At 37.3% G+C, this 15,067-nt stretch overlaps 1 annotated feature.

Annotated features, from left to right (window-relative positions):
• Positions 14,218 to 14,723: an enhancer, noted in NCBI's record as "NANOG hESC enhancer chr6:95865708-95866213 (GRCh37/hg19 assembly coordinates)". NCBI's record gives its function as "activates a minimal SCP1, AML or CMV promoter by ChIP-STARR-seq in primed H9 embryonic stem cells {active_cell/tissue: H9 hESC(primed)}" and the evidence as "EXISTENCE:reporter gene assay evidence [ECO:0000049][PMID:30033119]".

Raw genomic sequence — 15,067 nt, 5'->3', positions numbered from 1 at the left:
AAAATATCTTTAAATAAAATAGTAAATAATATTATTTATTATTATAGGGAATAGACTTTCCTCTGAAAGAAATTATTTCTGAATTTGATTAGGGCTCCTTAATTATATCTTAGAGTACAGCAAAGGGCTTTTATATGTTTGAAGACACTTGATTCAATGACATGCTAAGATTTGTCTATGTTATTTATAATGGGTGATACTTTTATTTCCAAAATTTGTTATCAAGTAAAGAACAATTACACAAATATACATCATTGAAAAGCAAATACATTTTGAAAAGTTTTAAACACCCAAGAAAAATTTTAAACAACTTTTTTTCTCCCCATTATTTGATAATATTTTTGATTTAGTATTTTCTACAATTTCTTTATATTGATTACCAAATTTGTTTGCTGATAAGAAGTGACAGGTGTTGTTTAAATCAGGTGCAAAATGTTTAAAGTTTCACATTTATGAAAAAAACATTCAGTTGGGAAAAAGATAAAAACAGAACACATTTACAATATAGAAATATTTGTCGGGTCCTGTTGTGATTTTTTAAAGTCCAATTATGAGGGCACTATGTTGTGTTAACCATTTTAGTATAAGTTAGTTGTATCTAGATGTTTAACCCTCCCTTTCCCCATCTGACACAAACTGTGATGATCACATTATATAGAACAGTCTGTGTTACCACTTCACTACAGGTAGAATTTTATTTAGGATATGATTTTAATTTTCCTGTAGAGTGCTGCCCCACTGTGGACAGATTAGGAATCACTGAAGCCTGACAAGTAATTACTTTTTGCAAATACTGTCTTTATTAAATCTCCCGTACAAATATTCCTTACATGTAATACCTGCATAAAGAAATATCCACCCAATGGTTACAAAAAATGTTGTAAAATTTGATATCTTCTCAGAGAACTACTTAAATATAAATAGGCCTTTTCTGAGTTACAAAATCTAAAAACTTTGCTTCATAAAATGTTTCTAAGGCATCAAACTGGAGTAGTAGAAAGACAAATTAACTTTTAAAGTCATAATCTCTTCTCAAGCCATTAAGCACATTTAATCTGTGCCACTACAAATTTTGGATATTGCCTATTGTTATCACAAACTAATATTTTCACATTCAGTTTTGTTTTTACATTATCTTGATTGATTTTAAGGCAGCCAGTATTGAACCTAAATAGTGAAGATGATGAATTTAGTTAAATTATTATGGCTGATTTCATCAGAGTTCATTGTGTAAAAATTTGACACTAGTGATAGAAATTATGATAATTGAATAAATTACAATGAGGTCATTAATTCATTTTATTTTTAATACATCTATGTGTTTATTCATAGCATCAACATAATTTTCCTCAGATTATAAAAGCATGTGCAACTAGTCTGTCTAAATCACCTCTTCTTTGAAAGTTAAAGCCATATTATAGAATTGTGACTTTTAGTCTTCACAATCTATTCTTCATCCAACATAGCTCTGCAACCTTTAGTTATAGATGTAAAAATTATTTTCCTCTTCACTCACCTTTTATTATTATTATTATTATCTATATTTGTAGGTCACAAAGATCTTATATAGTGTGGCATAGTGAAGGTAAGTTTGGGCAGAAAGTTAGAAAACTAGAACTTGGTCCTATGTGTGCCACCAATTAGGTGTGCATGCTCTTGAATTTCATTTAAAAGTGTGTTGTAATCTTCATCTCTCATCAGAGGATATTAGACTATGTAATTTTCTAGACTCTTTTTCAAATTATCTAAATTAGAAATTGTTTCTCTTGCAGTTTGGGTTCATTTAATTTGATTCAAATCAATTCAACTCACATCCATTCAATTTAGTTGTATTTGAATCAAAGAGTATTTATTACAACTTTCTATAGACACAGTCCTGCTATGAGCGCTGTACAGCCAGGGAACTCCTCTGTGAGGTGGGGGAATGAAAAAAGATTTGTAATGACTGATTTGTGACTTCAAAGTCCTCACTTTTCTCCCATTGATTTTTACTATAATTAGTGAAGTTAACCTCAAGAAATCATAAAGTCAGAAAAAGTCATCTTTGGCATGTCTTCTTTCTTCTAACTAGGTTCTCAAATAGATAAGTGTGTCCTCATTTTGAACCCAGGCCTCCCAGCACCTTTTTTTTTTTCTAAGCAAAGCTCTGTGCTGTTCTAATACGTGTCTTTCTTCACCTTCTCTCTGTTACACCAGCCACATTCTTTCATTTTCTTTGTGTCTCAGCTAACTTTGTTGTTGGGTGTGACACTAATAAAATTCTAAATCAGAAATACATAATAAATCACCAACTTACTGAAGACTTTCTCCCACACTCTTTGTCCTAATAAATGTTCCATCTCTGGTAACTGCAATGACTCGCTCATTGCCTGCACTGTACTTTTTTTCGTGGTTCACAAAGAAGCCAAGAGGGCAGAGAATGGCATACGCTAAACTCATATACTTCAACTCTAAGTCTTGCGTTTGCTTCCATTCTAGTTTCTTTTAATGAGTTAATTTGTTCCTTACTTTTCAGTAATCCTGCTTTCACAAAGATGCTGCCTTCAAGATACTCTCTTACAGTAACTAATACACACTTCTCTCATAAAAATATTCTGCGGAAAATAAGCAGCAAACAAATAAAAAATTCTAAAATAAACTTAATGCATTCTGTTTTCTTCCTCCTCAGCTCAACAAGACTGCAGCTCACTGCTTGAGTTCCACCTTCCTAAACCAGGGTGGAAAATGTTCCTAAGAAGGTGGCCAGGGTGAGAGTGCTGCTCACTTCATTTGTTTCCTTAAGTTCAAGGATCAGAGTCTGGGTATTTTTTTGTCCAATAACTGAACAAAAAGGTTTTTTATGTTCACATATTTGGTTCAGTTTTAAAATTGTTTACAGTGGAAAAGCAAGTGTCTTCAGTCATTTTCCCTCATGAATGGAAATCCATAGTATTTACATGACAGTTTGTTTACAGGTGAATTTAGTAAAGGTAGCTGTATTAGTCTGTTCTCACACTACTAATGAAGACATACCTGAGACTGTGTAATTTATAAAGGAAGGAGGTTTAATTGACTCACAGTTCCACAGGGATGAGAAGGCCTCAGGAAGCTTGTAATCATGGTGGAAGGGGATGCAAACACATCCTTCTTCATATGGCAGCAGCAAGGAGAAGTACAGAGCAAAAGGGGGAAAAGGCTCTTATACAACCATCAGATCTTGTGAGAACTCACTCACTATCATGAGAACAGCATGGAGGTACATGGAGGTAATGGGCTCCCATGATTCAATTACCTCCCACTGGTCCCTCCCATTACACATGGGGATTATGGGGACTACAATTGAAGGTGAGATTTTATGAGATTTGAATGGGGACACAGCCAAACCATATCATTCCACTACTGACCCCCCCCAAATCTCTTGTCCTCACAGTTCAAAACGTAATCATGCCCTCCAACAATCCCCTAAAGTCTTAACTCATTCCGGCATTAACTCAAAAGTCCAAGTCCAAAGTCTTATCTGAGACAAGGCAAGTCCCTTCCACCTATGAGTCTATAAAATCAAAAGCAAGTTAGTCACTTCCTAGATACAATGAAGGTACAGGCATTGGGTGAATGCATCTGTACTAAATGGGAGAAATCGGACAAAACAAAGAGGCTACAGGACCCATGCAAATTCAAAATCCAATAGGATGGTCCTTAAACTTTCAATTTCCAAAATGATCTCCTTTAACTCCATGTCTTATATCCAGGACATGCTGATGCAAGAGTTAGGCTCCCACAGCCTTGGGCAGCTTTGTCCTTGTGGCTTTCCAGGGTACAGGCCCCCTCCTGTCTGCTTTCATGGGCTGGTGTTGAGTGTCTGTGGCTTTTCCAGGTGCACAGTGGCCCACTCTTGCAGCAAACTTCTGCCTGGACATCTAGGAGTTCCATACATCCTCTGCTATCTAGGTGTAGGTTCCCAAACCTCAATTATTGATTTCTGTGCACCTGCAGGCTGAACACCATGGGAAGCTGCCAAGGCTTGGGGCTTGCACCCTCTGTAGCCAAGGCTTGAACTGTACCCAGGCCACTTTTAGCAGTGGCTGGCACAGCTGGGATACAGGGCACCAAGTTCCTAGGCTGCACACAGGAGGGTGAGCCCAGCCCACAAAACCATTTTTTCCTCCTAGGCCTTGGGCTTATGATGGGAGGGGCTTCCATGAAGGTCTGTGACATACTCTGGAGACATTTTTCCCATTGCCTTGGTAATTAACATTTCATTTCTTGTTATGCAAATTTCATAGCAGGCTTGAATTTCTCCCCAGAAAAATGGGATTTTCTTTTCTATTCTATTGTCAGGCTGCACATTTTTCAAACTTTTATATTCTGCTTCCTCTTGAATGCTTTGCTGCTTAGAAATTTATTCTTCCAGATACCCTAAATCATCTCTCTCAAGTTTAAAGTTTCACAGATGACTAGGGAAGGGACAAAATGCTGCCAGTCTCTATGCTAAAGCATAGCAAGAGTCACCTTTGCTCCAGTTGCCAACAAGTTCCTCATCTCCGTCTGAGACCACCTCAGCCTGGACTTTACTGTCCATATCACTATCAGAATTTTGGTCAAAGCCATTCAACAAGTTTCTAGGAAGTTCCAAACTTTCCCACATCTTCTTGTCTTCTTCTGAGCCCTCCAAACTGTTCCAGCCTCTGCCTGTTACCCAGTTCCAAAGTCACTTCCACATTTTTGGGTATCTTTATAGCAGCATCCCACTCTACCAGTGCCAATTTACTATATTAGTCCATTCTCACACTGCTAATAAAGACATACCTAAGACTGGGTAATTTATAAAGGAAAGAGTTTTAATTGACTCACAGTTCTGCAGGGTTGGAGAGGCCTCAGGAAACTTAAAATCATGCAGAAAAGGAAGCAAACACATCCCTCTTCACAAGGCGGCAGCAAGGAGAAGTGCAGATCAAAGTAGGGGGAAAACCCCTTATAAAACCATCAGATCTTGTGAGAACTCACTCACTATTACGAGAACAGCATGGACATAACCACCCCTGACATTCAATTACCTCCCACTGTGCCCCTTCCATGACTCGTGGGGATTGTGGGAACTATAATTCAAGATGAGATTTGGGTGGGAAAACGGCCACACCATATCATTAGCCGTATGGTCAATAACTGTACAATGTTAGAGTAATTCCCAAAAAAAATAGTTTCAAATATATTTTCTTTTTGAAAACCAAAAAAAAAAAAAATTCTAAATTAAGTCTAGTTAAGACATCTTGATGTTTCACTGTTATTTGCATTTTGAACTCTTCATTTGGCTAAACCATACTAGAATCCCAACTCTTTGACTGTAAGGATAGGTTCCCTCGCCAGTAAAATGGGGACAGTCATGCCAACCTAACAATTTTGTTTTAGTGACTAAATTATCAAATAAAGTAATTTAAAAAATTTTTCAGTGCCTGACACTTAGCAGTAACTCAAGAAATACAGAATTGGTTATGGTTATGATTATTACTATCATTTCAGGTTAGGCTATTAGATACATAAGAAGTTTGAGTTTTACAGGCTTCTAAATGCCTCTCAATGTATGCACCTTTGATGCATATTCCTCCACTTTATTTTATTATTTTCTTGCACAAATATATATTTTAACTGTGTATATTAGCATGTCTCAACTCTAGTCCCAAAATAATCTGACCTGATGAAAGAAAAGGAAATGTTATAGTAAGTTTGGGAAAACATTGTGATCAACAGGCTCATTTTGAAGGTTCAGGTTTCCATTAATATATCAAAGGCACTGAAAAAACCTCCAGTAAAAAAAAAAAATATATATATATATATAAACATATCTATATATTTATACAAATGCTATTATACATGCTATTGTGCACCATCTTTTAATAGTGCATTTTATTAAACCTGCATTGGGAGAGGCCAGTATATAAAATACCCTGGTTTTTGTTGAAACCATTAAATGAATAAATATTTACATTTTTATTATAGTAGAGATTGGCATCTTTTATAACAGAATCCTTTTCTTTTGTAAATTTATGCATTGTTTATTTTGAAATATTCACTTATCAAAAGACTCGTTTGTAGAGATTATGAAAATAAGCAGCACCTACAATTTTAGAGTGAGATACTTCAAAGGTATCTGTATAATAGTTTAACAATTACTTGGCAGAGATTACCTGAATATATGAGTTTTTAATATTTTTAAGCAAGAAGTAGAAATACAATTTGATGTAGTTTGACCCACCATTGAAATACCTGTATAAATTAGAATCAAGAGAGTTAAGCACTAAGATTTGAGAAAAGCAGAGAGAATGCTAAACCCAGGAATGATTGAAGGTAGGCCAGGGACTTCAGGCCATCATGACTTTCCTGTCCCCTTTTCTCTGTTTCTTTCAAGACATTGGCTTTGCTCAATGTCAGTGTGAAGCATCTTGTTCTATAGACCAGAACACATCCCACTGAGAGCTCTTGATTTTAGCAGTTTATAATTTTAGTTAAGAATGGCCAGGTGCGGTGGCTCACGCCTGTAATCCCAGCGCTTTGGGAGGCTGACACAGGCAGATCATGAGGTCAGGAGTTCGAGACTAGCTTGGCCAACATGGTGAAACCCTGTGTCTACTAAAAATACAAAAAATTAACCGGGTGTGGTGGCAGGCATCTGTAATCCCAGCTACACAGGAGGCTGAGGCAGGAGAATCGTTTGAACTTCAGGAGGCAGAGGTTGCAGTGAGTTGAGACCACACCACTGCACTCCAGCCTGGGCAACAGAGTGAGACTCCATCTCAAAAATAATAATAATAATAATTTTAGTCAAGAACAGAGATCCTCATAAATTTGGTTCTAGAAACTTTGGAGAAAGGCCCTTAAGGTCCAGGTTAGGTTGAGTGTCTCAGAAGTCAGAGAACATATCCACAGTTTACTGATGTCATTATGTCCACAAAACTCACCATGAGCAGTGCCCAGAAGAAAATATGGGCTGCCTGTGTGGCAGAACGAGACCCTATCACAAATTAAAAAAAAAAAAAAGAGTTAATAGGGAGGGAATTCATAGAGATTCACTGTACCAGGATTAGATATTATTCATTGAGAAAAGGAACATACACTCTTTTTCAATAAACATCCTTAAAGGCCAATATCACCTACGGATCCTTCCCTTTGAAATTTAGGTCGCTTCACTTAAATCTGCTAATTTTGTTGGTTGGTAAAAGTCCAGAGCTTCTTCATAATTTTCTGAGTTCTGGCAGCTTATGCACTCCTGGTTCCCTCTAGCTCTGTCTTGGTGCTTTTTTATCCATCCGCTCTTGTTGGGTCTTCACAAGAAGCCCAGGCTTTTCACATTTTGTTGGGGAAAGGAGAATGGAAATACACTGGCACAAAGTTGCATGTGTGGCAGGGTGGGGAGAAAGGGAATTGAACTTTTACAAGAGTTTGTAGTGCAGGTGGAAAGGAAGACTCAGACTGCTGAGTGCAAGCACACTGACCCTGTGTCAACACCCACAACCCTGTCCTCTCTTTTCCCCTTGGTTCGGTTAGAAGAAATCTTATTCTGCTCAAATGAAGTACATTCTATGTCCAACAACCCTTATGTCCTCCAATCCTTGAAGTCTTATTTTCTACCACAACCACTCATTTACTAATTTATTTTCCCAGCAAAATCAATTTTTCTTTCCAAAAATGAATTCTGATGGCTAAAGTGTTCTCAATCTTTTTAGCTTATTGGAGTCATCCATTTCAATGATTTCTGATGTGTTGTTTGAGTGATCTGGGTTCCAAGCTGAGGCTTCCAATCCACTTGTTTAGTTACATATATTTTTATTAACTATGTAATGTGAATCTCTGTGGGAACTGTTTTGAAGGTAGTGGAGGTGGGTATAATTGAACTTTAGCAGAATACACTGCTAGTATTCAAGAAGTGATACAATAATAATAGTACTAATAATAATAACAACTGGCCCTTATGTAACCTCTACTATTAATTAGTCACAGTTCTGAGTACTTTGCATACATTAAATATCTTAATCGCTACAATCACCCTCTGAAGTAGGTATTATTATTATCTGTATTTCACAGATGGGGAAACTGAGAAGCAGAGAAGTTAAATACTTTGTTCAGGTTTCTCAGCTTGTGAGATTTAAGCCTTGGCAATCTAACACCTATGTCTCTGTTCTTAAAGAGACATTGGGATAAATATAAGAAGATGCAGAAAATGCTAATCACTGGAGTCCTTGAAGAGATGATAAAGGGAGGTAGCTTAGCAGGGCTACTCACTAGAATGGAAGATGCCACTCTAGGAGGCTGCAGTGCATTTCTTGGGGGTAGTGGCTGGGATAGAGAAGGTTTATATGGCAGGACTGGAGGTTTTCAAAAGGGACACAGAGCATGGCAGATAGATTAAAATAATGAAGGACCCTGAGTAGTGTAACATGTGCCATTCCATAGTGCTTCACTGCAGGTATGAAAGACACATCTTAAAACAAGAATTAGTAATTTATTTTGGAAAATATCAAGGTGGCCACATTTAGCATAATGGCCAGTGTGGGACTAAAGCATAACTTACTTGAATTATGTGTGAGGATAGAGGAAATCATGATAAAATATCTTTAGGAATTCACAGATATCATTGATATTTAAATATATGTATATCAAAATTTGGAACATATATTAAGGAAAAGGATAATATATTTCCTGTACATGTGTTAAAAATTGAGAATTGTTTGCAAGAAGCTATGCCAAAAAAATCTTGTGAAACAGATTTGTACATCAAGTCTATAAGGATTAAGAAAATACACATTGTACTTCCTGCAAAGCCTAATTAAAAAGCTTTAGACTTCAGAAAGGACCAGTCACCCTTCAAATTTCTGATGTCAATGAAATTAATTGGGAATGATTGGGGAAAAATAAACAAGATATTGAGGAATCTGTTTGTATTTAGAAAGCTGGGGATGCTGTGGTAGCCTTGCCCTTTAGAAATCAGATCTCGATGACTAGGGACATGATATGTGGAGCTAAGCAGATCATCTCTTTTTAGTGAGAAGTCTCCCTAAAATAAGCCATTGCTCCCAGGGGAGGCCCTGACTTGCCTTTGCTTAATGAGGCTTCACATAATAAAACATGAGTGATGACCCAGAAGCTCTAAGTAATAGCTAGTTACAAGGCTGGGACATAATTTTTGAAATGCCATAGGAATTCATGGGAAAGAGAGGTATCTCCCAAAAGTCAAAGAAGACTTCATGGGAAAGGAGTGTTTCACTTGGGTTTTGAAAAATAGGTATGATTTGAACAGAGATATGTAGAGGTTTTTTTTTTTTTTTATTTAAGGGAACAACTACAAATAAAATATAGAGGAAAGAGAAAAGTTGGGGGTGGTGATATGTTGAAAGAGATGTTGAAATTAGCTAAAACATCAGCTACAAATTAGGAAGTTGTGAGTGATAAACAGGAAAAAGAAACATTCAAGTGATTTTATGGAGAATTTAAATATTGGCATATTAAATAAAGTTGATTCTTATAAATTATATAATAAAGTAGGATGAAACATTTCAAGCAGGGGAATAACATGATTGAACTATAATAGAATGCCTGGAATTTAACTTGCTCCTAAAGTGGTTCATTAAGTGTTGAAAATAATCATTGTAAAATATTTTCAGAACTCACAGCATGGATTATAAATTAGCTGACTAAATGTACTTTTTAAATCCTCTTATTTTGTTGAATAAAAGACTGGTTCTTTTAGAACCAAAGCTGTAATACTAAAAAGGCTATATATAAAAAACTTATTTTTTTATAATAATCACATTCATCCTCTTTTAAGTAATCCTTTCACTTGCTTTTTTTTTAATCAAATATCTTGCACTGGGATCATTCATCAAGTCTGTATTTGGAGTTTGTGCTTCATAATTCAAATTGCCAACAATCTTACATTTTCTTTCATAAGTACAAGGGGCTGTGTTACACACATGCATTTATATAATGGCACAATTTTATCACTTGTTTATAAATCTTAACTTGGTTATTTTTAGGATAACTTTTATTATAATATAAGATACATGTAGCATAAAATAACAATAGTGAGATATATATTTTAATATAGCATAAATTAACTATAGTACCTATACTTACAAAGACCTAAGTATACAGCTCGATGAATTTTTTGCAAAGTGAATACAGCTATGCAACCACCACCTGGGTCAAGATGTAATGTCTACATCTTGAAATGTAGCCCAGATACCTCCTCATTTCTTCTCTCAATCTTTAACCTTGACCCACAAATGTAAACATTACTCTCATTTCTATCACAATAGATTTTTTTGAGCTCCATATGTACCTGAAATCATATCAAATATATTTTGTTTGAGTTCTTCATTCAATATAAGCATATAAGTTTCACCCATGTTGTTGCAGATAGGAGTAGTTAATTTAATTCCTTTTTTTGTTTTTTTCTTTTTTTCTGTATGTTGTGGTACTATATGACTACAACAATGTCTATGTAACTATATGTAACATATGTAACTATATGATATGGCTTGGCTCTGTGTCCCCACCCAAATCTGGTCTCAAATTGTAATCCCCAATGTTGGGGTGGAGGACCTTGTAGGAGGAGGTGATTAGATCATGGGGGTCGATTTCCCCCTTGCTCTTCTTGTGATAGTGACTGAGTTCTCATGAGATCTTGTTGTTTGAAAGTGTGTAGCACTTCCTCCTTCAATCTCTCTCCGGCTGGCCATGTGAAGATATGCTTGCTTTCTCTTTGCCTTCAGTCATGATTGTAAGTTTCCTGAGGCCTGCCCAGAAGCAGAAGTCTGTACAGCCTGCAGAATCATGAACCAATTAAACCTCTTTTCTTTATAAATTACCCCGTCTCAGGTATGTCTTTATAGCACTGTGAGAATGGACTAATACAGAAAAATTGGTACCAGAGAAGGGGGGCATTGCTATAAGGATACCTGAAAATGTAGAAGCAGCTTTGAAACTGGTTACTGGACAGAGGTTGGAACAGTTTGGAGGGCTCAGAAGAAGAAAGGAGAATGAGGGAAAGTTTGGAACTTCTTGGAGACTTATTGAATGGTTGTAACCAAAATGCTGATAGTGATATGAAAAATGAAGTCCAAGGCTAAGGAGATCTCAGATGAACATGAGGAACTTATTGGGAACCAGTGTAAAGGTCACTCTTGCTATGCTTTAACAAAGAGACTGGTGGCATTGTGCTCCTGTTTTAGAGACATGTGAAACTTTGAACTTGAAAGACGTGATTTACGGTATCTAGCATAAGAAATTTCTAAGCATCATTGTTCAAGATGTGGCCTGGCTGCTTCTAAGAGGATACGCTCACATGTGTGAACAAAGAGATGGTCTGAAATTGGAACTTATATTTAAAAGGGAAGCAGACCATAAACATTTGAAAAATTTGCAGCCTGGCCATGTGGTAGAAAAGAAAAACCCATTTTCAGAGCAGAAATTCAAGCTGACTGCAGAAATTTCTGTAAGTAGGGAGGAGCTGAATGTTAACAGTCAATACAATGGGGAAGATGCCTCCAAGGCATTTAAGAGACCTTCAAGTAGTCCCTCCCTTCACAGGCCTGCAGGCCTAGGAGGGCAGAATGGTTCTGTGAGCTGGGCCCAGGGCCCCACTGCTCTGTGCAGCCTTGGGACACAGTACCCTACATCCCAGCTGTTCCAGCTCCAGCTTTGGATAGAAGGGACTCAGAAATTTCTCAGGCCACTGCTCCAGAAGGTACAAGCTGAAAGCCTTGGCTACTTCCACATGGTGTTAAGACTGTGGGTGTGCAGAGGGCAAGAGTTGGGGTTTGCAAGCCTCCACCTAGCTTTCAGAGGATATATAGAAACACCTGGATGTCCAGGCAAAAGTCTGCTGCAGGGGCAGATCCCTCATGGAGAACCTCTACTAGGGCAATGCTGAGGGGAAATGGGCTGGAGTCCCCTAACAGAGTCTCCACTTTGGCACTGCTCAGTGGAGCTGTGAGAAGAGTGCCACAGTCCTCTAGACTCCAGAATGGTAGATTCACCAACAGCTTACACCATGTACTTAGAAAAGTTGCAGGCACTCAACACCAGCCCATAAAAGCAGCTGTGGGGGTTACACCCTGCAGAGCCACAAGAGTAGAGATGTCCACAGCATTAGGAGCCCAACTCTTGCATTAGTGTGGCATGGATGTGAGACATGAAATCAAAGGAGATTATTTTGGTGCTTTAAGATTGACTGCCCTGCTAGATTTCTGACTTGCATGGCACCTGTAGCCCATTTGTTTTGGCCAATATTGCCCATTTGGAGTAAGAGCGTTTACACAATGCCTGTACCCTCATTGTATCTTGGAAGTAACTAACTTGTTTTTTATTTTACAGGCTCATTTGTAGAAGGGACTTGCCTTGTCTCTGATGAGATTTTGGACTTGGACTTTTGAGTTAATGCTGGAATGAGTTGCAACTTTGGAGACTGTTGGGAAGGCATGATTGTGTTTTGAAATGTGAGGATATGATATTTGGGAGGGGTCAGGGGAAGAATGACATGGTTTGGCTCTGTGTCCCCACTCAAATCTCATATCAAATTGTAATCCACCACGTGTTGAGGGAGGGAGCCTGTGGGAGGTGATTGGATCATGGGGGCAGATTTCCCCCTTGCTCTTCTCATGATAGTGAGTGAGGTCTCATGAGATCTGGTTGTTTGAAAGTGTGTAACACTTCCCCCTTTGCTCTCTTTCCTGATGGCCATGCGAAGACATACTTGCTTCCCCTTCACCTTCTGCCATGATTGTAGTTTCCTGAGGCCTGCCCCGAAGCAGAAGCCTGTACAACCCACAGAACTATGAGCCAATTAATCATCTTTTCTTTATAAATTACCCAGTCTCAGGTATGTCTTTATAGCAGTGTGAGAACAGACTGATACACCATAATACTATTAATTGTCTTTAATATTGTTTTTCAATTTATAATATAAATAAAGTTGTAAAGGACAGTCTTATATGTGCCTCCTCATGCATAGCTATACTCATTTATGTTAGATATAGCAGGGAATGTAATTATTGGAACATAGGGTAAGCATATGTTCAGCTTTAGTTTAACTTTATTCTTTTTATCTACCCTGTTTAGAGATTATTAGAGGATGCATTATCATCATTCTGGTAGAACATAAATGGCTTCCTTCTTTCTCTTAAAACATCACTGATACTGATGTATTCAGCACTTCTTTTTAGGACACTACAGAAATTTTATATATAGATGTAGAAATCAAGCCAACAAAATATAAGATGATTTTATTGAAGTCATGCATAAAGTAAATAAGAGATTTGGAAATATAGCTCAGAATATGCAAACCCTCAAGTCATCATAAAATGCCACTTTAAAAAATTGAATCAAAAGTCAAAATATTCTGGTAAAGAATCATCCTGGAGTGGATGAAGGCAACATGCTATTCAATGTAGTCTTTCTCACCACCAAAGGAATTGACTTTTGAAAGGAGTGATAAGTCTGGCATATACAGTGATAGACTCTGATCAGAAACATAAAGTCATTTACATTGTGCTCAGACTATGATGATGGATGTGATGCTATTTCTAGTGCAATGATAGGTCCAGGTAGCAATGGTGGCATTCTGGCTGGTGTAGACTCATTCAGCAGCTTGATTCCAGTTGGTTTCTTCAGAGAATAGGCCCCTCTAGTAAGCATCTGCATGAGTGAACTAGATGGTTTGATAGAAGCAGCAATTTATTTCCACAATTTGCAGCCCCAAAGGGGTTGCATTTAATTGTCCAGTAATTTTTCAAGTAGAAGAAAAAAATAGACTGGCCATTGGCAACAGCCCAAGAGCCAGAAGATAAATTCAACAGGGTTATGAATGGGGGTATGGGCCAAAGCTATAAGGATGATCTTGAGTTTTCTCCACTGAACAAAGTGACCAGATCCATTTTTACGGAGTGGCCCCAGCCTCAGTTGCCAACCACTGGATCTCAGCATAGCCAAAATTTCAGTGAACCAGGACCAGCTATTCAGAGTACAGTGGCTACACTTCAGATTATGGAGAGGGGAATAAAATTTTCCACAGATGTACAATGAGTAATCACATTACACATTTATGCCTACAACAGAATATCCTATATTTCCCATAAATATATATACCAACTGTGTACCCACAAAAATTAAAAATTAAAAGTTTTAAATGAAAAAAAAAATTCCCCCAAGAGTCAGCTGCTGCATTTCATATAAAATTGAGGGTTGCTGGGACCTAATCACATGTTTTCTTTTATATGCTATTTCCTTGTAACAAACACGGATTTTTGGGCCTTTGCCACATTGTTAGTGGGTGAGTTTCAGTTGCCTCACTTTAAAATGGGAACATTGAAATAAAGAATCCCAAGGGTAATATGGGTCAGGACCCAATAGCAAGCTAACGGCTGTCTCTCTAAAGTGTTTTACTTGATAGCTGCTTCTGAGTGGTGACAAATACCCAAAGAGGCATCTTCCTTTGTCAGAGACTATAATTAGCATAATCACAAATACATGGAGCTTAAAGGGCTCATTAGGGCTGTGGGGCCTGGAGGATAGAAAGAATGCCACAGCTTGCTAGACAGCTTTCAACTCAGACTTCCTAAAAATGCTGGTTTTCAAGATGACTGACATAAAGGCTCAAGTAGAATTCCCCAGTTAGGTATGTTGTGTCTCCAAAACCCAATGGTTCAGTATGGTGCTGGATCTCCCTTTTCTTGCTTAGGGGCTGAGCACAAAGCAGTTTTTCATTGATTATAGAAATCTAAAGGAATTGTAGAGAATTGTTTCCCTACACTTAGGAGTTGTAAAATTTAATAAACTTTTCAAATATTTCTGGCTTTCAACTTTCTTCTACAGAAAATAGACATATTGTAAATTTGGAGCAGGGATGTATAAAATGTATAAAGTCCCTATTATACAGTAGGTATTCGGTAAAGTAGTAGAAAAATTCTTCAGGAAAGAGAAAATTGAGTGAACACATTTTATAATAAAATATAACCAATATGGATTTAATATTATATAACATTCAATTAGAATTCAGTATTTCTATAAGGCAACTGATAACATTATTTCTAGCAATGTA

The sequence above is a fragment of the Homo sapiens genome, chromosome 6 (assembly GCF_000001405.40).
Source record: "Homo sapiens chromosome 6, GRCh38.p14 Primary Assembly".
NCBI lineage: Eukaryota > Metazoa > Chordata > Mammalia > Primates > Hominidae > Homo > Homo sapiens.
The sequence above is the reverse complement of the archived record's forward strand: the minus strand, read 5'-3'. Positions and strand labels throughout refer to the sequence as shown.